Genomic DNA, 20,495 nt, shown 5'->3' with positions numbered 1-20,495 from the left:
GTGTCCTTCCCAGGGGACCGAGGGCAGGCCCAACTCTGAGCTAGATGAGAAGAGGGACTGTGTGAGGGTCTGCCAGATGCGTTGAAAGACAGATGGATGACTTGGCTAATCTGGGCTGTGCTCTGTAAAAACTCTAGCATTGCACCGAATGCCACAATATGCAAAGCTCAGAGTCTGTGAGCATCTGCCAAGGACCAGGGACTGGTGGTAATGAGGTATCCTTCCAGGGTTCCCTTTAAAACTTTTGGGGTATACAGCTGAGCCCTCGTGCTAGGCATGAGTTTCTTGGTCCTTGGCTTCTCATATCATTAAGTCAGTTCAGCTCCTTCAAGAAAAATGTCCATCAGCTCAGAACCCACCCTACGAGTTGGTGAGCATGTCTGGATTTTCTACTAAGTAGTGAGTCATTTATCTGATAGGCCTGGCTGTGATTTCATCTTCCCATCTATAGCTTAAGGAAGTAAATGTCCCAAGAAGGCCAGCTAGTCACCTACCCAGAGTCTTCTCCAGAGTGATTTTCCCTGGTGAATCTACTGTGGTCTATAACTTGGCCTCTGCTTTATTATGCAGAAGCTGAATTGGATGGATATGCTAGGAGTGGGTTGTTCCTCCAGGATGGTCTCATAACTGACCCAGCTCAAGGAAGCTTCTGTTAAAACTGGATTTCCAGCTCAGGAGCTCAGTGAAAATACCACACTTGGCTAGAGGCTCACCCAGAGCCTGTGGGTGGCTGATGAGTGTTCCCAGGACTCAGCCTGCTGTGCCATCTGCAGGGCATAAACTCCTTCTGTGGGGCCACAGTGTGCAGGCCAAATCACCTCTGCCCAGTGCTTGTACCAGGCCTGCTCCTGACCCCTTTTCATGTGTCCTGGGCTGAGCAGTCCTCTTGGTTTGACAAGCATATACTTTAACCATCTCTTTAGTCCTCTGAATATGCCAGATGCAGTGCAAGGGGCTTTATATGTCTAAATGGTACTGCCCTCATTTTAAAGATGGGGAAGTGGAGGTTCAGAGAAGAAGGATAGGCTCAACCTTGCATTGCTCATAAGAGAAGGAGAAGGAATTACAACTGAAGGGCTTTTTGTGTGTCTCTGCAATGACTTTGCACATCACTGACTTCATCTCCGGTGTCATGATGTTATGGTTTAACACAAATGCCATTTATTGGGATTTCAGCAGATCTCCCCTCTCTCAGGGGTCAAGCAATTTTTTGGCTCATATCCCATGGCTGCAGAGTAGCCACTGTTGCATTCTCCTTGTTTCCCTTCTTGGAAGCACAGCCATGCTTCCAAAGGCTTAGGGCCTGTGAGGAGGGTGCCTCGGGGTGGTACAGGGCAGCCTTGAGCCCACCCTGCCATCACTGGGCTGGCAGACCTGTAGGTGCCTCTAGCCTCAAGTCCTACTAGGCAGTGACATGAGGGGGTCCCATTGGGGATGCCAGCACCCATCACCTGGCCCACCCTTGATACTTTCCTCAGTTCCAAGCAAGGTACAGAACCCTTGAGCCAAGCTGGCTGTGTATTTGCTGTGCCAACACGGCCTCACTTAGTGGCCGAGAGGAGGATGCCGCAGGCCCCTGGGGCCTGCTTCTCTTTCAGCCATTCTCCAGTGCTTCTCACAGAGACCTTCCCTCTCTCTACCCCAGGGCATCTGCCATGTCTCCCTGATGGGCCCACTGTACCCACTTGGGCTGTAGTGGGTGAGGGTGGCTCCCTGGCTGCCATCTGTGACATGGCAGGAGATGTTGGTCCCCCGGGGAGCGCACACAGCACTCCGCTGAGCCATTTCTCTCTGAGTCGTGGTTTCTCTTCCTACCAGGTTAACACCTGCTCTCCTCTGCCACCTGCCTTGCCTCTGAACACTTGCTGAAGGGATCAGGGAGGATAGCACAGGGCCCAGTTATGGTGGGGCCAGTTGTCCTCTTGGTAGTCGGTGAGGGACAGTGCAGAGCCATAGTGCTCATACAGTCAGATAGGTCTTCACCTTCACATCATGAGGGCTGGAGTATCTGTCAGGGCTGATCTGCGGTCTTTGCCCTGCCCCCACTTCGCTCTCACTCAGGGTCAGGGCCTGGAGTTGGGAGATTAGAGGTAGAGAGGGAGGAGCCTGCATTCCTTCACCCCTGGGCACTGTGCTGAGCACTTCTGCTGCCCTTCCCTCTTCTCCACACCCCAGGAGCAAAGATAAGTAAAATGCTATGACAGCTGTCACACAGGAGAACAGAGCACCCAGGCCTTGAGGTCCAGGAAGCATCATTCCCAGAGCTGCCAGAGCAGTGGCCCTGGAAAATATGGAAGCAGCTGTCAGCCATGGCCCAGGGCCTGAGCGTATGATTCTCAGGAAAAGTGGGCAGGACATCTGACTGTCAGGTGTGACGGCAGAAGGTTCTGGCCTCTTCCTGGGAAAAGCCCTTCTAGGTAGCCAGCTTCTGGGGTGCACTCTGTACATCCCAACTCCCCGAGGGCCTGCCCTACAGTGTTTCAGACCAGATATCAGGTCCTGTGACCCAGGACCCCTCCCTAACCTGCCCGTCAGGTCTCTTGCCTTATCTGACTCTTGTTTTCAACAGAGTTTGTCCTCTCACTTCTGGAGAAGATGCAGACACAGGAGATCCTGAGGATACTGCGACTGCCTGAGCTAGGTGACTTGGGACAGTTTTTCCGCAGCCTCTCGGCCACCACCCTCGTGAGTATGGGTGCCCTGGCTGCCATCCTTGCCTACTGGTTCACTCACCGGCCAAAGGCCTTGCAGCCGCCATGCAACCTCCTGATGCAGTCAGAAGAAGTAGAGGTGAGCAGGATAGGAGACGTTCCACTGCGGAAAGTAGGGGGCAGAGGACAGGCATCTTGGAAGTAGAAGCCAGACTTGTGGCTTATTTGACCTCACATGGCCCAGAGAAGGTGTCTCCCCTGGCAGTCAGCCACTTAGCTCTGCAGCAGCCTTGGGCAGGGTCTCCTACCAGGCACTCCTTCTGCCTCTCCCAGGAACTGCCTCTGGGTAGAGCCTGACCTGGGCCTTGCACTGGGCCTCTAGTTTGCCTGCTTCTCGGGTAGGAGGGCCTTGGCTCATTGGTATTGCAGTAGGAAGCCTAAGCAGGTTCTTGAGGAGCTTCCTGGTAGATTCCCTCCCAAACTCTCCTGGTCTGGTGCTGGGACCCAGGATTCAGCCCACTCCTGGCCCTGCTCTCCCTGAGTACATGGACTCACACATGGTGCCACCAAGGGGAAGACGATACAAGGGCCAGTGGACAAGGGTGTTCTAGGCTAAGCCTGGAAGGACTGGTGAGGTGTGTTTCATTATTAAGCTTATGGAATTTATTTTTGCCTTTTAAAAATTTGCTTTTTCTCCTCTTGAATTCTGTTCATTTGGAATAGATAATGTATCCACATAGTCCAGAACAAACAAATGGAATGTACTGAAAAGCTTGTGTCTTCTTCCTTGCTCTCCCAGTTCTCTTCCCCTGATGCAACCTGCTAATGCTCTGTCCTGGCCGTGAGCAGATGTGTAGAGATACTCACCACGCTTTCACTCATATCCACCACATACCCTGTTGTGCACCTTGCCTTTTGCTCTTGACAGTGCACCTTGGCGATCATAAGCATGTTTTGCCTTGTAGGGGAGGGTGCAGGTTGAGGTAGGGGCTGGGATCTTCAGGGCATTTTTCCAGCGGAAGAATGGTATGTGCAAAGGTGCAGGTGTGTGCTGAGGCACATGGGGGCTTTGCGTGGGACGCTAGGTAGTGGAGAGGGGCCAGAGATGGGCTGGCCAAGTGCTGTTGAGAATGGCCTTTGGTGTCTGGCAGTCCTGGGTTTGAAGCCTGGCTGTGCCTCTGAGGTGTATGGCCCTGGGCAGTTTCTTAACTCTCTGAGCCTCAGGGCTCTCAGTTGTAAAGTGTGTAATAAAAAGAGCACCTGCTTTCTAAGGTGTGGTAAAGATTGGGTGTGATGACCCAGAGAAGTCACTAAGGACAGCTGTTTTTGGTTAAGCTTGTGACTATATCACATCTGGAGAGGTCAGCAAGGACAGAGCCCTGTGAACTGTGCAGGGACCAGCAGAGGGAACAGCGTGGAGCTATTTGAGATTTTCAGTAGGGAGAGACATGGCCAGTTTGTGCCGTAGAAAGGTGGGTGTGACAGGGGCAAGCGTAAGAAAGCAGCTGCAGGCATCTGGGTTGAAGGTGACAGTGGTCTGGATGGTGTCAGAATGGTGAGAGGGATGACCCTGGCTCGTGTGTAGGGGCCACTGAGTGAGTCACCTTGTGGGTCTGGAAGACAGGACATGGGATGAAGCTAATGCCTCCCTTCCTGGAATGACTGCATCCTCCCTTGCCTCATCCCCCAGGAGCCCAGAAAGCCAGAGTGGCTGCACCGGAGTAGGCAAAGGAGACAGTGGTAGGAAATGAGATGGGAGAGGCAAGAGGGGCCCAGATCAGACAGGGCCTGGCAGCATTGACTGTGCCTGCTGTGTGGTGGGAAATAATTCAGATCTTGTCACTCGCCTGGCCTAAAACCCTTTCCTGGCTCCCCATTACCCTCAACCTCAAGTCCAGATTCTGCCTTGATCTGCAGCCTCTCTGGCCTCCTCCCCAACCATTGCGATCTGGAGCTCCATGAATCGCCTACAGTTCCCCAAATGCACCTGTGCCTCCTGCCGGTGCATTTGCATGTGGTGCTGCCTATGCAGGGTTGCTATTCCCTCCTCCTCACTCTGTCCGGCAACCCCCATCCATCCTTCGAAGCCCAGCTTGGCAGCTGATCGATAACACACATGCCCAGTGTTGAGCCTCTTCTGTCCCTGGCATACAGTCTCTCCTTGTACCATATCTGTTGCCCAAGTGCAACTGGGTCTGATTGGATGTGTCCCAGCTTCTCTTGCAGGTCTTAGGTGGGCTTGGTCCTTGAAAGCACTGGCCAATCAGAACTTTCCACTCGAAAACAGTCGGGAGCTGCCTGTGGTTTTGAGTTCGGCTGTTTGCTTTCTGGTTCTCACAGATGTTTTTTTCCTTAGACCTGCTGTTCCAAGAGGTGGCAGGCTCTGGCCCAGCCCAGGGTAGCTCAAATAGTGCTTGAAGAAGAGGTGGAGCTGTGATACTGGAGAGTTTGGGTTTGGGCACCCTGGGGAAGGGTGACAGGGTAGAAGGGGAGGAGGCAGGAGAAGGCTGGCTCCTCACCCTACTCACCAGCACAGAGGGGTTTGCCACCTTCCCACTCTGCACCCGTGCCACTTTGGGCCCAGGAACTTGCTGCCTGCCTCTCCTCCCCCATTGCACATGAACATAATTCAGCCTGTCCTCCCTCCCTAGCCTCCTAGGCTTCTGTGCCTGGGACAGAACCTTCAGCACAGTCCTCTAACTCACTTCATTATGTGAATGATGGGTGGCAGCCTTCTTAGCTAACACCACACCCAACTGATCCTTAACTCAGGGGCATAGCAGTAGATGATGGGATGGGAGATACCTTGGCAGGTTGTTCCTGAATCCAGCCAATACTCCCCACTGTGTTGTATGAATGAGACATGGGTGTGTACGAACATTAACTGAAAACTCTGGACATTCTGCATATGCTGACCTGCTGTGTGAATGCTGTATGTGTGTGTGGAGTTTGTATGTGGGGACACTGGTATACCCGGCCTTTATGCATGAGCCAACTATGTCGGAGTGTGGCTACATGCAGGTTGAGTGTATACAGTCCAGGTGTGTGTAGTCCATGTGTACGCGGGCACACAGATGCCACGGTGCTAACTGCATGCACGGGTTGTACATCCGAGCTGGGTACAGCCTTGTGCATGCTGCGGCCCTCTCCTGGCACCCCTACCTGCCTCAGCCAACTTCTCTGGCCGGTGCTTGGCTTGTAGGACAGTGGCGGGGCACGGCGATCTGTGATTGGGTCTGGCCCTCAGCTACTTACCCACTACTATGATGATGCCCGGACCATGTACCAGGTGTTCCGCCGTGGGCTTAGCATCTCAGGTGAGAAGGGTTGTGGGGGGGGGTGTGGAGGGGCTGTGTGGCAGGGGTGGAGTGGGTGCAAGGGTGGGTATGCAAGCATGATACCAGGGCCATGGCAGGTGAGCTATCCCCAGGTTCAGTGGAGAGAAGCTACTCCTGGCCTTTCTCCCACCAGTCAGAGAAGCAGCTGCATTATATGGCTAAAGGGCTGACCTCAGCTTTGTTCCAGCCCTTGGGGCAGCTTGACCTTAGGCCATCACTTGGCCCACACTCTATACTCTTGGGGAGCCTTGAACTGCCAGGCCACTGGCTGGCATGGTTCTGAACCTGAACCTCTGAGATGTCTGGGTGCTCTCAGGGTAAGAGGCAAAGAGAGGCAGCCTACCACCTCCTCCCAGTGGTCCCCAGGTGTCTGTATCCTTTGGGTCTGTAATAGGGATCACCACACAAATTATGATGGGGACTAGGCACTGCATCATTCCCCATTTCCAGACCTCCCTGATCCCTGGGATGATGCCATACTTATGTGCTTTAGGCCCTCTTGGGCTTCAGCAGATTAGACAGGTAGCTGGCAGTGCAGGAGGGCAGTTCACTTGGCCCATGGACACACTACAGTATGGGATGTCCATCCAGGTTTCTGATGGGCGGATGCAGGTGGCACACCCACTCTGACCCCTCTCTGACACAAGGCTTTCTTATCTCTCTACAGGGAATGGGCCCTGTCTTGGTTTCAGGAAGCCTAAGCAGCCTTACCAGTGGCTGTCCTACCAGGAGGTGAGTGATACAGGACAGGCCCCACCCTGGCCACCCATTCAGATCTGGCACTCAGGGCAGGTAGGGAGGGATGTGGGCACCTGCTGGGTCTCAGAGGGTCATTTATTTCCCTGGCCTGTCTGCCAAACTCCTGGCAACAGCCTTGAAGGGCTTCCAGCATACCCGGGTTGGAAGTCAGGGAGGTCCCTCAGATCTATAAGAATCCCGGCTGGGCGTGGTGGCTCATGCCTGTAATCCCAGCACTTTGGGAGGCCAAGGCGGGTGGATTGCCTGAGCACAGGAGTTTGAGACCAGCCTGGGCAACGCAGTGAAACTCCGTCTCTACTAAAATACAAAAAATTAGCCAGGTGTGGTGGCATGCACCTGTAATCCCAGCTACTCGGGAGGCTGACAGGAGAATTGCTTGAACCTGGGAGGCAGAGGTTGCAGTGAGCAGAGATTGTGCCATTGCACTCCAGCCTGGGTGATAGATCGAGACTCCATCTCAAAAAAAAAAAAAAAAAAAAAAAAAAAAAAGAATTCCTCCTGGGGATCTCCTTCCCCTGTTGAAGAGTCCTTGTTTTCCCATCACTTCCCCACATCTGTGTGCAGGTGGCCGACAGGGCTGAATTTCTGGGGTCCGGACTTCTCCAGCACAATTGTAAAGCATGCACTGATCAGTTTATTGGTGTTTTTGCACAAAATCGGCCAGAGGTGAGCATCTACCTTGACTGGTTTTAGAGGGATTCGTGGGGTAGGGGTTGGCTGCCATGGAATAGTCCTGCTTTCACTGTTTGTAGGGCCCAGGACAAAAGAAAAAACAGAGACCCTTGGGCTATGCCACCACTCCTCTTCCCACCCTGGCTCTGCCCCTCATCAGCACTGGCCACCCCAGCCATGCTCCATCCACACCCCACCCAGCTCTACAAACAGCTGCCCCTTGAGCCAATGGGGAGGAAAGACCTGAGGAACAGGCTCATGCAGGCCATGGAACTGTCCTTGGGGCAGTTTAGACATGAAATCCAGGAGTTACAGAATTCTCTGGTACAGGCCTGGTCCAGAAGGCTGTGGGTGAGCAGACACAACCCATTAACCTCATGGATTCCTTGCCACAGGCATAGGGCTTAGAGCAGGGACGCTGGTTACCTAGGCCTAAGGGCAGGACAGCCCTCTAATCTCCCCTTCTTCCCCACCCCCGCCTCATGTGTCTCCACAGTGGATCATTGTGGAGCTGGCCTGCTACACATATTCCATGGTGGTGGTCCCGCTCTATGACACCCTGGGCCCTGGGGCTATCCGCTACATCATCAATACAGGTAAGCCCACTGCCACCCCACCCTGCCACTGGCAACTGGTCCCCAGCCTCCAGCCTCCAGCTTCTCAGGTTATGCTGATTGTCTGACACTCGTAAGAGGCACTTTGCTCTCAGAAAATACTAGGGGCTTACACTGTGGCTCCTGAGTTGGCTTCCTGAGTCAAGCTGTCCCTGGTCAGACTTCACACGAAGGTTCCTTCCACAGGGCTCAGCTGCCAAGAAGGAGCCTCTGCAACAGCCTCCACACAGGGTACAGCCCTCTGAAGTTCATGACAGCTTGGCACAGATGCAGGGGGTGGTAAATATCTCAAACAGACCTGGGATGATGGGGGCAGAGCCTGGAACAAAGGGGAGCTTGGACTCTGCTTGAGGAGGTTCCATGGCCTTCTGCCCTTGGTTCCGCCCAGGACCCACGGCAAATTCCTCTGTACACGAGGCCTGTCTTATGTATTTATTTACACATAAGCTATGGGCACACAGACCATGGAAGTGCTGCCTGGCATGTGCTGCCTGGCACATGCTGCCTGCACTCATGACCTGGGCCCACATGGCCTGACTCTCCTTGATGGCCCCCTGCAGCGGACATCAGCACCGTGATTGTGGACAAACCTCAGAAGGCTGTGCTTCTGCTAGAGCATGTGGAGAGGAAGGAGACTCCAGGCCTCAAGCTGATCATCCTCATGGACCCATTCGAAGAAGCCCTGAAAGAGAGAGGGCAGAAGTGCGGGGTGGTCATTAAGTCCATGCAGGCCGTGGAGGTGAGGGTCTGCTTCTGGGCGGTTTGCTGGGCTACTGCTGGCTGGTCACCAAGTCAGAACTTCTGGTTATCTGTCCCTCTCATGCCCTGGGGTGGCTGTTTTGGGCCCGCAGGGTATATCAGTGTCCAGACAGGGCAGGCTTTGCAAGGGCTGGTGGTGAGTGGTGGGGTTGGTGCCCACAGGCATCCTCTAGGAGATAGGCTCCGTGGCTGGATCAGTTAATCCAGCCTGGCACTAGGTGCTGACTGGTGGACCGTGGTGCCAGCTTACCTCAGAGGTACTCACACAGCCTCTGGAGCTTCCTCATTTCCAGCTAGCCTCAGCCTGTCTGTGTCTGAGGACTACAGACATAGGTCCAGGAGTCTGGGAGAGGTTCTTACAAATGTGATCCAGACCCCCAGCGGCCAGCAGAATGGATGTTTCTGTGCCTGGCCTCCCCAGAGACATCAGGTTGGTGGCAGTTGGTGGTCTGCTGGGGTGACACAGGACATCCTGGCCTCCAAGGCCTCAGGCCCTGCCCAGTAGCAGCTGACCCCCCACTATGCCCTACTGGATCTAGGCCCCAGGCCCTCCTTCTCCTGCCTCCCTATGTGCTCCCCACTCTACTGGTAATGCCTATGCATTGTACCCCTCCCTGGCACTGGCAGCTGACCTACACTGGCAGCCCCCACCTGCCCCACTAGCACTGACTGCTCATCCAGAAGCCTAGTCCACCCAGCTGCTGCATCCTGAGCATGTGCCCAGCCGTGCCAAGAGCACTTTAAACCCAACATGCTCACACTCGGATTGCCATCATACAGGTGGCATGTGCACTTTGCTTAGCCTCTCCCTGGGGCTCAGACTCCCTGTCTGTAATGTGTGGGGTGGCCTAGAACCTCTAGTCACCCTCCCTGTCTCCCAGGAGCCTCAGGCTTAGATGTCTGTCTGAGAAGAGGCCACTGAGGTCATGTCTGCCATGACCATCTCAGTGGCTGCTTTGGAATCTTAAACTCTGGGATTGGTGCAGGAGTAAGGCCTACTGAGCTGTTTATTCTGATTTTGTGTGTGGTGTGTGTGTGTGTGTGTGAGTGTGTGGGTATGTGTGTGTGTGTATGTGTATGTGCGTGTGTGAGAGAAAGAGACAGAGACAGAGGGACAGAAAGAGAGAGAGAGAGAACTTTTGAGCATTTAAAAACAGCATTTTCTTCTTTCAGGACTGTGGCCAAGAGAATCACCAGGCTCCTGTGGTAAGCGAATTCACCTGCAGGTCTTTATTGAGCGAGATGGCGTGCAGGGCCTGTCCTCACAGAGTCCCTCACTGTGCACAGAACAGCACCTCTGTGTTAATAAGCAACTCCTGTGTGCAAGCCAGGAAATGCCCACTTGAGTGTCCAGGACTTCTGTGGGCCGAGGGCCCAGGGAAGGACCTGGAACAGGAGTCAGGTATTTGGGAGGGAGAAAAAAGAGCTGCCAATCCTGGCCACCCTTGGTTCTTCAAGTAACTTCTTTGGGAAGTCTTACTTTCTCACTATGAATATGGCAAACTCTCCAGAAGATGCAGTAGACAGAAGCAACAGCAGAACCAGAAATGGACTCTTGTGCCAAATGGCCTTGTGGCATCTGCTGTCTTTGTTCATCTTTGCTTTGTGAACTGTTCTGTGCGTCATCCCCATGTGATACTTCCTGGGGTTGAGCCACAGTGAGGGCAGCTGCCCCCGGGATGGGCCATGTGGGGATTTTCAACTTTCTAAAAGGCATATGGCCTCCAGGCCTCCCTCCAGCTCAGTCCTTCCCTCTCCCTTCACACAGGCCTGAGCAGGTCACCCCCGGCTTCCCAGGGCACTGCATGGGTAGCTCCTGGTGTTTGCCCATCTCCTACACATCACGGCTCAGTTTTAGAGAACCACTCTCCCATCCCTCAGCACCCTTTCTCTCTTCTGCCTCTGTGCCTGTGCCCAGGCTGGTTCCTCTCCCCAAAACACCCACCCACACTTCATCGGGAGAAATCTTGCTTGCGCTTCCATCTCAACTCAACTGTCACCTCCTCTGGGAAGCCATCCTCTACATGCAAGCAGACTTGGTGGGCTCCTTCTGGTGACCCCAGACTATGTGCCCAGTGCCAGGGCAAGGGCTGATGCAGAGCAGCCTTGGTGACACAGTGGGCAGCTCAGTGCCCAAGCCACACGTGCTCCCAAGCTTAACCTCAGATACTTGGGAGAACATGGGAAGGAGGGAGGGAACTGGGTCACATCCACTAGAAAGGTCAGAGCTTTGATAGAGACTGAGATGTGGCCACTGCAGCCCAATCCCACCTAGGATAATTCAGCCCAGGCTCAAGTAGGGGAGGCAGTGGGACCAGATGTGAGGTTGGTGGGACAGATTAGTGTTCACACCCCAGTTAGGTTTCCTCAGCTTCTTTTTCTTTTTCCTGAGCGCTCATCTGCCCACCTTTCTGAGCGCAGCACACAGGAGCATGCAGGCGTGCCCAACACATGCTCACACCCACATACAGCATACATATGGGCCTGGCTGGTTGGGGAGCCCAGGCATCTTGGGCCCTGGCTGGCCACACTGGGTCTCCCTAACACACTCCTCTTCTCACCCCTGCAGCCCCCGCAGCCTGATGACCTCTCCATTGTGTGTTTCACAAGCGGCACGACAGGTAAGCAGAGGCACGCAGATCCCCAGCCATGGCTACCTGCACCCTTCCCTGGTGGCCTAGCAGGTGACTGCTGGAGTCTTTGATACCCTGTTTGAAATGGGCTGAGCCTTGTCTTGTTCCTGGCTCCAGACACTGGGTGACCTCCTGCACCTCCCAGTGCCCTGCATAAGAGTGGCCAGATGCAGATGGATAGTGTGCATTGGGAGGTCCAGTGTGAGGGCTTGGCACCTCCCAGAGCTGAGTCAGCAGAGTCATGGGCAGCTGGATCATGTGCTGAGGGAAGGTCCTTTCTCACTGGCATCATTTCTCTCTGGTAAACAGCTCTCACTCCCCTGCTTTCTGCCCCTGCCTGGCCTTTGTGTTGGAGACTGGGGAAAGAGTGTGAGGTTTGGCGTCTGAGAGCCTTGGTTTGAGTCCTACCTCCACTGCTTGCTGGGGGACTGTGAGCCACTCATTTAACTTCTCTGCCACCAGTGTCCCCAGTTTCTCATCTGCCATGAGGGTGGCTAAAGGTGCCAAGTGGGAGATGGGACAGTGTGTGAAAGGGCAATGCAGATGCTCTGCAGGCTGGGGCTGGTGTGCCATGAGCAAGGCTGTCAGGCAAAGCACACAAGCAGAAATGATATCCTCTGTGCTTGGAGCTGACAGAGGAGCACACACATCAACAGTGGCAGGAATAATCAAGGAAGGCTTCCTGGGGGAGGCAGAAAGCACAAGAGGACACACACAGCACAGGCACAACCCTCTGCATTTCTATAGCATGCTGTCCACCCTCTCTCTGCACCACTGGGGCCTCAGCACAGCCTGTGAGGTGAGCAGGATTGTCACCAAGCCTGCTTGCTCCAAAGGGACACCATCAGCAAGTAGAAGCACCAGGGCCTGTGCCCTGCTGTCATAATTCCCAGGCCAGAGCCTTTCCCAGTGCTGCCTTTCCATCTCATCTGATGACGTGGATGTCACTTGTCTTGCCCTGAATGGGCAGGAAGTCTCCAGCCTTCTTTTTCCAAACTGAGGATTGGCCCATCTTGATGACAGCTCTCAGTGGGCAGTGAACTGGGGCTCTGCATGCCTTCTGCAGATGCAGCCTCTAAGGCATTTGACAGACCTGTGACCAGCCCTACAACCAGGATTATTCATGTCAGTGGATCATGATAAACATGCTTTATTGAATATAGATAGATTTTTACCATTAACTCACATGGGTTCAAGGATTTCCACCATATTCTACTAAACTTTGTCAGAAAAATAACAACACAGCCCTTCCTCTCCAGGAGCTGACATCCAGAGCCAACCCAGAATTCAAAAATGCCCTTCAGGTTTATGTTGCTTTTTAAAGAGCACTTTCCAATGTCTTTTTGTCTTGAGTTTTACAATGTGAATTTTTGGTGACATGGTTTTGGGGAGCAGGTCACTGCTATGGCCTTACCTTTGGACCTGCCTTCAAAGTGTGCCTTCAGCCTTTTAACAGGTCACTTGGTCACAGACATTGCCCTTGGATCTGGAGAAAAACTTCATGATGCAGAAATGTGCTATTGCCTGGCTGGGGAGGGCAGACATCATGTCCAGTGCTTTTCCAGACTGTAGGAAGCTGAGCCATCCTGCTCAAGCTCTGTGTGGTGGAAGCAGAATGTATAGGGCTTGAAACATAGGCTGTGATTTACTATCCCAGACCTCCCACTCCAAAGCTATGGCTGTTGCCTGGGCAGAGCTGGGGGAGTGAGCAGGGCTCTGGCCTGATATCACCCCATCTGGCTGTGCACTTGGATTTCCTTGGCTTTAGGCTAAGCCCATGCTGTGCCTCTTGTACTCATCCTCTTGTCGGGCACATCAGCCTTGTGTGTCCTCAGCGTCACAGCCCAGATACAGCTTCCCTTAAATGTAAGCTAAATGTCCTGGCTCCCAGCCTCATCAAGGGCCACATTGTTCTTTTCATGGGGAAAGATGGAAAATATGATCTGAACCTGACATTTGGCCCATGATTCTGGTGGAATCATTCCAGGAAGATTTCATTCTTAGCATGTGGTGGAAAAAATCTGTGGAGATTCCTAGAATAAGTCAGTACTTTGAAGTCCCTATTCAGGCCAAGAAGGCCTGGGAGGTGGTGAGAGCTTGTGGTCTGTCTGTACCCAGTGATGGCTGAGGGGTGGGCATGTGGTTTGCTGTTCATTTCAAAATAACAGTTAGCTGGACTGGAATCTGAACCCATTCCCACCTCTGAAAAAAAGATAATATGTGGGTGTAACATAGCCCAGTTTGGGAAATTGGGTCTCTTGAATGATAGTTAGGATGTTTTATCCTTGTGAGTTCATATGCCTTGTCTTCCCAGCAAAGAAAATACAGTGCTTTTAAAAAACATAACTTTCAGTCTATGTGTTTTTAGCACTCTTTTTCTAATTCATCTATATTCACTCATTCAGCTCATTTTTGTGAGTACCCACTATGCATCAGACCTAGCATTAGGTGCTGAGGGCATAGGGATGGAGAAGACATAGGTCTGCACCCGTGAGCTCCCAGCTTGTGTCATCAGGCAGTTACAATATGATGCGGTCACTGCCTTGAGGTCTGCATCCCTGGTGCATGGGTTACCCGGCCACTGAGAGATCAGTACAGCAGGACAGAAAGGATTCCCAGAGGAAGTCAGTCTAAGCAGAGTCCTGAAAGATCTGTAGCTGCAGAAGCCAGGGAAAGGCATTCCCTGCAGGAGAAAGAGCATATGTGGAGGCCTGATGGTAGCACAGAACACGCTGCTTTGAGGGAGTTTTGAGAGGAAAAGAGAGGGCCCGAGGCAGGGCTTGAGGGCACGAGCATGAGGGAGATGATGGGACAGGAGTTCCCAATAGAGGTCAGGCAGGAGGGGCTGGAGAGGCTAGAGGAGAACAGGATTTGTCAGTGTCGTCTGTGGTTAAGTTGTAACTGGAGGATGTCACCATGAAATGACCTGCTGGTGCTCTTGACAAAGACTGGTCCCGGGCGCGGTGGCTCACGCCTGTAATCCCAGCACTTTGGGAGGCCGAGGCGGGCGGATCACGAGGTCAGGAGATCGAGACCATCCCGGCTAAAACGGTGAAACCCCGTCTCTACTAAAAATACAAAAAATTAGCCGGGCGTAGTGGCGGGCGCCTGTAGTCCCAGCTACTTGGGAGGCTGAGGCAGGAGAATGGCGTGAACCCGGGAGGCAGAGCTTGCAGTGAGCCGAGATCCCGCCACTGCACTCCAGCCTGGGCGACAGAGCGAGACTCCGTCTCAAAAAAAAAAAAAAAAAAAAAAAAAGACTGGTCTTCCCAGCACTTTGGGAGGCCGAGGTGGGTAGATCACAAGGTCAGGAGATCGAGCCCATCCTGGCTAACATGGTGAAACCCTGTCTGTACTAAAAATACAAACAATTAGCTGAGTGTGGTGGCGCATGCCTGTAGTCCTAGCTACTTGGGAGCAGAGGCAGGAGAATCGCTTGAACCTGGGAGGCAGAGGTTGCAGTGAGCCGAAATTGTGCCACTTCACTCCAGTCTGGGCAACAGAGCGAGACTCCATCACAAAAAAAAAGAAAAAAAGGCTGGTCCTGGGGCGTGGGGTGGAGGAGCTGGTGCTGTGGACTGAGGAGCAAATGGGAAGTAAAGATATTGATTCAGTACAAGCATGTGTGCACTTCTTTCACGAAGCTTGGCCATGCCATCAAAAGGCATGCTCCATCATGTTCATAGCAACACTGTTTGTAATAGTCAAAATCTGGAAATAATTCAAATGCTTATTTGCTTACAGTAGAACATTATGCCACAATGTTGAGCAAAAGAAACCAGGCACAAAAGATTGTATGATTTCTTTCATATAAAATTATAAAACGTGATTAATTACCCTGTGGTTTTACAAATCAGGGTAGAGGGTGTCTTCTGGGATAATGGCACCCTGGAAGGGTGATAAGGGAGCCTCTGGGATGCTGGTTGATGTTCTATGTCTTGATCTGGGTGCTGGTTGTACAGCCAAGTTCACTTTGGAAAACTCCATTGAGCTTTACACTTATTTGGGCACTTTTCCATGTGTGTGTTATACTTGAGGAGAAAGTTGTGTTTTTTTTTTTTTTTTTTTTTTTAATAGTTGACTATGAAGGTATGGCAGGGAGCAAGATTAGCAGCTGGTGGAGCCAAGGGCTTTGGGGGAGGTTTGTTGCTCTTCTGGAGATCCTGAAAGTGTTTCTTATAGCTGAGAAGGGGCCACTGGAGACAGAAGAAAGGAAGAGGATGCTCAAGCACCAAAGCCCCCGAAGCTTTGGTGTGGGTGGGGGAGAAAGGAGGTCTCCAAGTACCAGGGAGGAGATGGCCCTGCTAGGAAGGAAGGGGTAAGAGAAGAGTCTGGGAGGCCAGGAAGATGCGGGGAGTCCTCTGACGGCTTCTGCCTCCTTTGTGGAGTGGGAGTCAGAGTCCTGGCTGAGGATGAGAGGAGTCTAAAGGGGGCATGTGTTGACAGTTTCTGGGAAGAGAGCCCCTCTGGGACAGAGACTGTGAGCCTCGGGGGCTGCGCTGTGGAGGGAGCAGGAAGGTTGGCAACTGGATTGGCTTGGTGGGGTTTTCAGAATGGGATCCTTGGGGAGGCCCAAGAGGTGAGGCACTTGACAGGAGAGTGACTGAAGGGAGGGACACAGGAGTCAGCATGGGAGGGAGGCAGGGATGAGAAAGAAGATAGGAGGGGAAGGGCCACAGGTCTGGAGTCATATGAAAGTGTCTCAAAACATGAGAGATCAATTCTAAGCACTGGCTGTGGGGCTGGGAGGCTGAGGGGGTGGAGACCATTCAAATTGGGGCGTCCCTTCTGTTCTAACTGAGGATGCCCATGAAAGCCCAGGCATATACAGTCATTTAGCTGAGCATGTAAGTGCCCATCATCCCCAGAACTGTGGCTACTCAGAGGTGGGCTTTCTGGGGAAAATGTTCACCATGACCTATTCGTTTTGTGCTATTTGGTTCAAGACCTGAATGAATGTAGCAGGAGTGCTGAGTTACCATGTATGAAGTGCCCAGCACAGTGCCAACATTAGTGGGTGTTGAGTACTTGGCTACTATTATAGTTATTATTTCTATTCTTACTAGCCCTCAAGTCTGATTTTTTAAAAATTGGTGGATATGGGATTGATAAAAGTAAGACTCAGACCTAAAGATTTGAGAGCCTTTAGCAGGAAGACGAACACTCTAGCTGCATTATGAAACTTCCAGAGAATGTCAGTCACCGGTAACTATTATAACCCACCTTTGAGTATTTAAAAGCAGAAACAAGCAGCCAGAATCCCCCAGCTGGGTGGCCCAGAACTGTCCCCAAACCCACTTCCACCCCTGCAGGAGAAACCTTGAGCTCAAGTCCATCCGCAGCTGCTGTCACCTGGAGCCAACATCCAATCAGGGCAGATCGTCACCCAGCAAAATGCCTTTCTACATAATAGCCATGGGAGGCCTGCCCAGGAACACTGACCAAAGCCAAAATGTCATTGGCAGAATCTAACACTTGGAGAGTTTTTCTTCAGTGGCTAGAGAGAAAATTAAATACAAGAATGGTCAGCTTATGAGTGGATGATGGGAAATAGACAGTGGGTCTCATACCGCTGAGACATTGGCGGCCTGGGTAGCCAGCATCTCTTACTGACATTGCACCAGAAAAGGAGAAAACCAGGGAAAATTCTGCAATTTGATTCTGCAACCTTTCAGTCTTCCCCCACAATTTGTTGCCAACATTCACTTCTTCTTCACCCTTTGGGACCACATGTAGAGACAACTTAAAGAAATAATTTGGGCATGTCTGGGAATGTTTTAAAATTCCATATGCCATTAGACATGTATAAAATGGCATTCATATCCACAAGAAAACTAAAGGACATGAACTTTTCTCATCATGCTGGAGAAGAAAAGGACTTATCTAACCAAGTGGAATTGAATAACTACTGCTGTTGTACGTGTTTTGGCTTGAACTGAATGGCGGCTTTAGAATTTTTTTTTATCAATGAAGACAGTTTTCCCTTGAGATTCTTACACCATTCACCCTGAGTTCTCTCAAGCATGAACAAGTCAGCCAACTTTGCAAATCCAAAGCTCTGTAACACAGGACTCTTATTTCATGACACTTCTGATTTCATACCTAGTGTTTGGGAGATATTCCTTAGAAACTTCCAGATCCTAAGAGTCAGTGGGAAGAAATTGCTAGGTGACACTTGGAATACTCTGTGGGCCCAGGTACTCTGTGGGCCCAGGTACTCTGTGGGATTTGTATATGAGACAACTTGGATATTTCTTAATCTGAGCCTGGGTTTGAGGAAGGATGTTAGGAAGAAAGAAGGATAGGCAGAGATAAAATTAGACCCCATGGCACTTTTTCTTTTCAAAAGGAAGATATTTTGACAGCTATTTATTAGAGAAATGTAACTTTTTAAATCATGTCATAATCTTCTGTGTCCCCAGAATCACCTCTGTGATTTGCAATATGGGTGGAAGTGCCAGAGTGCAGGTTAAAATCCCATCCACCATACGTTTCAGTCAAACAGATGTGTCTTGTCTCTTGAATTCAAAGATTGGGCCATGCCTGATGCTCTTATCTCTGACAAATGGGTCACCAGTAAGTTGAACAAGTAGGCCTCCTGGGATATAATTATGAGAGCAACTTTATTTTTATCTCCATTCGTGCCTTTAAATTTGTGCCGCGGGGGTAGTTCTTTTTCTGCTCCTGGGCAAAAACTCAGGCATCTTGTGCCTTTTCTGGTCACTCTCAGTTAATAAAAAGTCCTATGGACATTGCAAGTCACAAACACAGTCTTAATTCAGAATTACAAGTGTCAGTCCAAAATAGGAATCAGTACACTTCACTGAGACTCCTTCCTTTCCCGAGCGAGGGCTGGCTGCAGGCTTGGTAAGGAGGGCACGGTCCTTCTCTCCTCTGTTCCTCTCTGATGTTTTTCCTTCTCCCCCAGCTTGCTAACAGAGGTTTCTGCCCTCTCCTACCAGGTTTGAAGTGGGGTAGGAGAATAAATAAGTAGACTATGAAAGTTGAAAGATGGTTTTGGGCAAACGTCTAAAACTCCCTCTGCTTCATGGCTGCCTTCATGAGCACTCTTGATTTAGGTGGTGTCCTTCCTTGGGTTGCCTGCTGCCTGCTCCACTTCAGCTTCTGTCTTTGGTGTACTCTTGATTGTCTCCCCTCATGGGCGATTGTCATTTTGCCCTGGCAAACTGGTCTCGTGGATAAGATTTCTTGCACCCCACCATTCCCACCACTGCTCTCTAAGACTGATGTTCCTTCTGTAGACTCCATATCCAGATTCCCTGGGATTAATTTGGTTTCTTTTCGTTTTACAACCACAGTCTTCTTCATCTTTCTCATTGGGTCTCCCAGCTGCAGGGAGCACAATCAGGCACTTCAAGTGATCCCATTAGGGGCTGAGTTAGCTCGGGTGTTAGGTTGAGATTAGGAGAGAGGACCCTTCATTCCTCCCCTTTTGATGGGCTATGACTCAGTGTAGCTGTCTCCAAAGATGAAAAAAAGTTCTCTCTCTCTCTCTCTCTTTCTCTCCCCACCCCCTCATTGAGGCAAATTTCACATAGCATAAAATCAACTCCATTTTAAAGTGAGCAATTCAGGGGCATCGAGTACAACACTCTCTTAGTCTCTCTCAGCCCTTTTATTGCCTCATTCAGGGTGAGGGTTGCAAAGTTAACATGTTGGCTTATTTGATGTTTTGCAGCTATTGTATCTGCTGCCTCAGTGGAAACGTCTGATTTAACATCTCTGGCTGCCTCAGTGGAACCTAATTTAACATCTTTCATACTTAGATTATATCTTTAGATCTTATAGAAGCCTGTGAGGTGGGCATTACTCTCCCCATCTTACAGGTAAGGAAACAGAGAGGAACAATGGCTTGCCAGTGTTATGCTGGCAGTGAGTGGCAAGGCTAGGATTTGAGCCCTGTCAGATCTGTCCGGCAGGAACTTTGGGATTGTATCTACCCTGACAGGAAATGGTGGCCAAGTTGTCCTCCCTTCCCAGCCTGCTGTGCCTGGGATCCCTAGCCATCTCTACCCTCTGAGTCATCCTAGCAGCCCCTGACTTCCTCAAGGGCCCAGAGAACTAGGCCTCACGAGCAGTAGTGAAAGGTCATATCAAAACAAAGCAAGAATATTTGTGTCCCATTTCTGCCAAGGAGCAGGCAGGAAGGGCTGCCCAGCCCTCTTGGATCTCCAGCCTGGCCTGAGCCTGGGGCCTTTCCAGGTGCCAAATGCAGCAGAGAAGTCCTTTGCCATCAGAGTTGGCTGCTGGACTCAGGAGACCAGGCCCACTCAGGCCCAGGGAGTAGTACAGAGCCCTTGCTATATGTAAGGGGACTCGGGGCTGACAGCCTCTGCTCCTGAAGGAAGACGGGAGAGGATAAGGCACAGACCACAAGCAGTTGACCCTTCAGGCCTTGAGGCACCCCTCCTGTGCAGCCATATCACCTGCCTCCTGGTCCCATGCTGGTGGGAGCCTAATGGTAGGCTATGTCTATAGGATAGCGGTCCCTGAAGCAGCATTCATCTGCCTGTAAGTCTAAAGGTGGCTGAAGACAAAGGCCAGAGGCTTGGGTAGACAGCATGGGTGTCTGGGACTGCCAACTTGGGCACTGCTCTCAAGAAGTGGCCCTTGAGTTTCCAACTAATTTGACTTCTTGCTTTCTTTTTATAGGGAACCCAAAAGGTGCGATGCTCACCCATGGGAACGTGGTGGCTGATTTCTCAGGCTTTCTGAAAGTGACAGAGGTGAATAAAGTAGCATTACTGTTGCAGGTGTCTCTTGAGGACAACCTCAAGCCTCAGAGGATTTTTTTTTATTTGTTTGTTTTCTTTTTCTTTTTTTTTTTTTCTTGATATAACCTGGGCTGCCATTCACAGGCAGGAGTTTCTGTTCTCATTAGAGCAACCCCACTTTTACCATCACTTTTCACTCCAAATACTGAAATGACCCATACGTGACAAATATTCAGTTGATTTCTGGGAGTACTAAGATCCCAGAAAGAAAAGCATGCAAACCTATTTTTCCTTTCTAACTTCAAATAACTTCAAAAATTGATATACCCATGGT

At 51.3% G+C, this 20,495-nt stretch overlaps 1 protein-coding gene across 25 annotated transcripts in view, besides 2 other annotated features; it reads left to right on the top strand.

Annotated features, from left to right (window-relative positions):
• ACSL6 (acyl-CoA synthetase long chain family member 6) overlaps positions 1-20,495 on the top strand; it is a 62,241-nt gene that overhangs the window by 15,393 nt on the left and 26,353 nt on the right. For 13 of the 25 annotated variants that reach the window (NR_175945.1, NR_175946.1, NR_175947.1 and 10 more), the window contains 9 exons: positions 2,570-2,790; positions 5,854-5,968; positions 6,657-6,721; positions 7,313-7,414; positions 7,917-8,016; positions 8,595-8,773; positions 9,967-9,999; positions 11,363-11,414; positions 20,100-20,173. Coding sequence is in view for 22 of the 25 variants with exons in the window: in NM_001205250.1 (NP_001192179.1) it covers positions 2,570-2,790; positions 5,854-5,968; positions 6,657-6,721; positions 7,313-7,414; positions 7,917-8,016; positions 8,595-8,773; positions 9,967-9,999; positions 11,363-11,414; positions 20,100-20,173 (941 nt within the window). In the remaining 3 variants the exon portion in view is untranslated. Of the gene's footprint in view, positions 1-2,221; positions 2,370-2,535; positions 2,791-5,007; positions 5,077-5,853; positions 5,969-6,656; positions 6,722-7,312; positions 7,415-7,916; positions 8,017-8,594; positions 8,774-9,950; positions 10,000-11,362; positions 11,415-20,099; positions 20,174-20,495 lie in introns of those variants that run through there. The other 12 variants (NM_001405488.1, NM_001405490.1, NM_001205251.2 and 9 more) reach the window with 5 other exon arrangements.
• Positions 1,184-1,727: an enhancer, noted in NCBI's record as "H3K4me1 hESC enhancer chr5:131330787-131331330 (GRCh37/hg19 assembly coordinates)". NCBI's record gives its function as "activates a minimal SCP1, AML or CMV promoter by ChIP-STARR-seq in naive H9 embryonic stem cells {active_cell/tissue: H9 hESC(naive)}" and the evidence as "EXISTENCE:reporter gene assay evidence [ECO:0000049][PMID:30033119]".
• Positions 2,272-2,815: an enhancer, noted in NCBI's record as "H3K27ac-H3K4me1 hESC enhancer chr5:131329699-131330242 (GRCh37/hg19 assembly coordinates)". NCBI's record gives its function as "activates a minimal SCP1, AML or CMV promoter by ChIP-STARR-seq in naive H9 embryonic stem cells {active_cell/tissue: H9 hESC(naive)}" and the evidence as "EXISTENCE:reporter gene assay evidence [ECO:0000049][PMID:30033119]".

This window comes from Homo sapiens, chromosome 5 (genome assembly GCF_000001405.40).
Source record: "Homo sapiens chromosome 5, GRCh38.p14 Primary Assembly".
NCBI lineage: Eukaryota > Metazoa > Chordata > Mammalia > Primates > Hominidae > Homo > Homo sapiens.
Note: the sequence above shows the minus strand (reverse complement) of the source record. Positions and strands in the feature narration are given on the sequence as shown.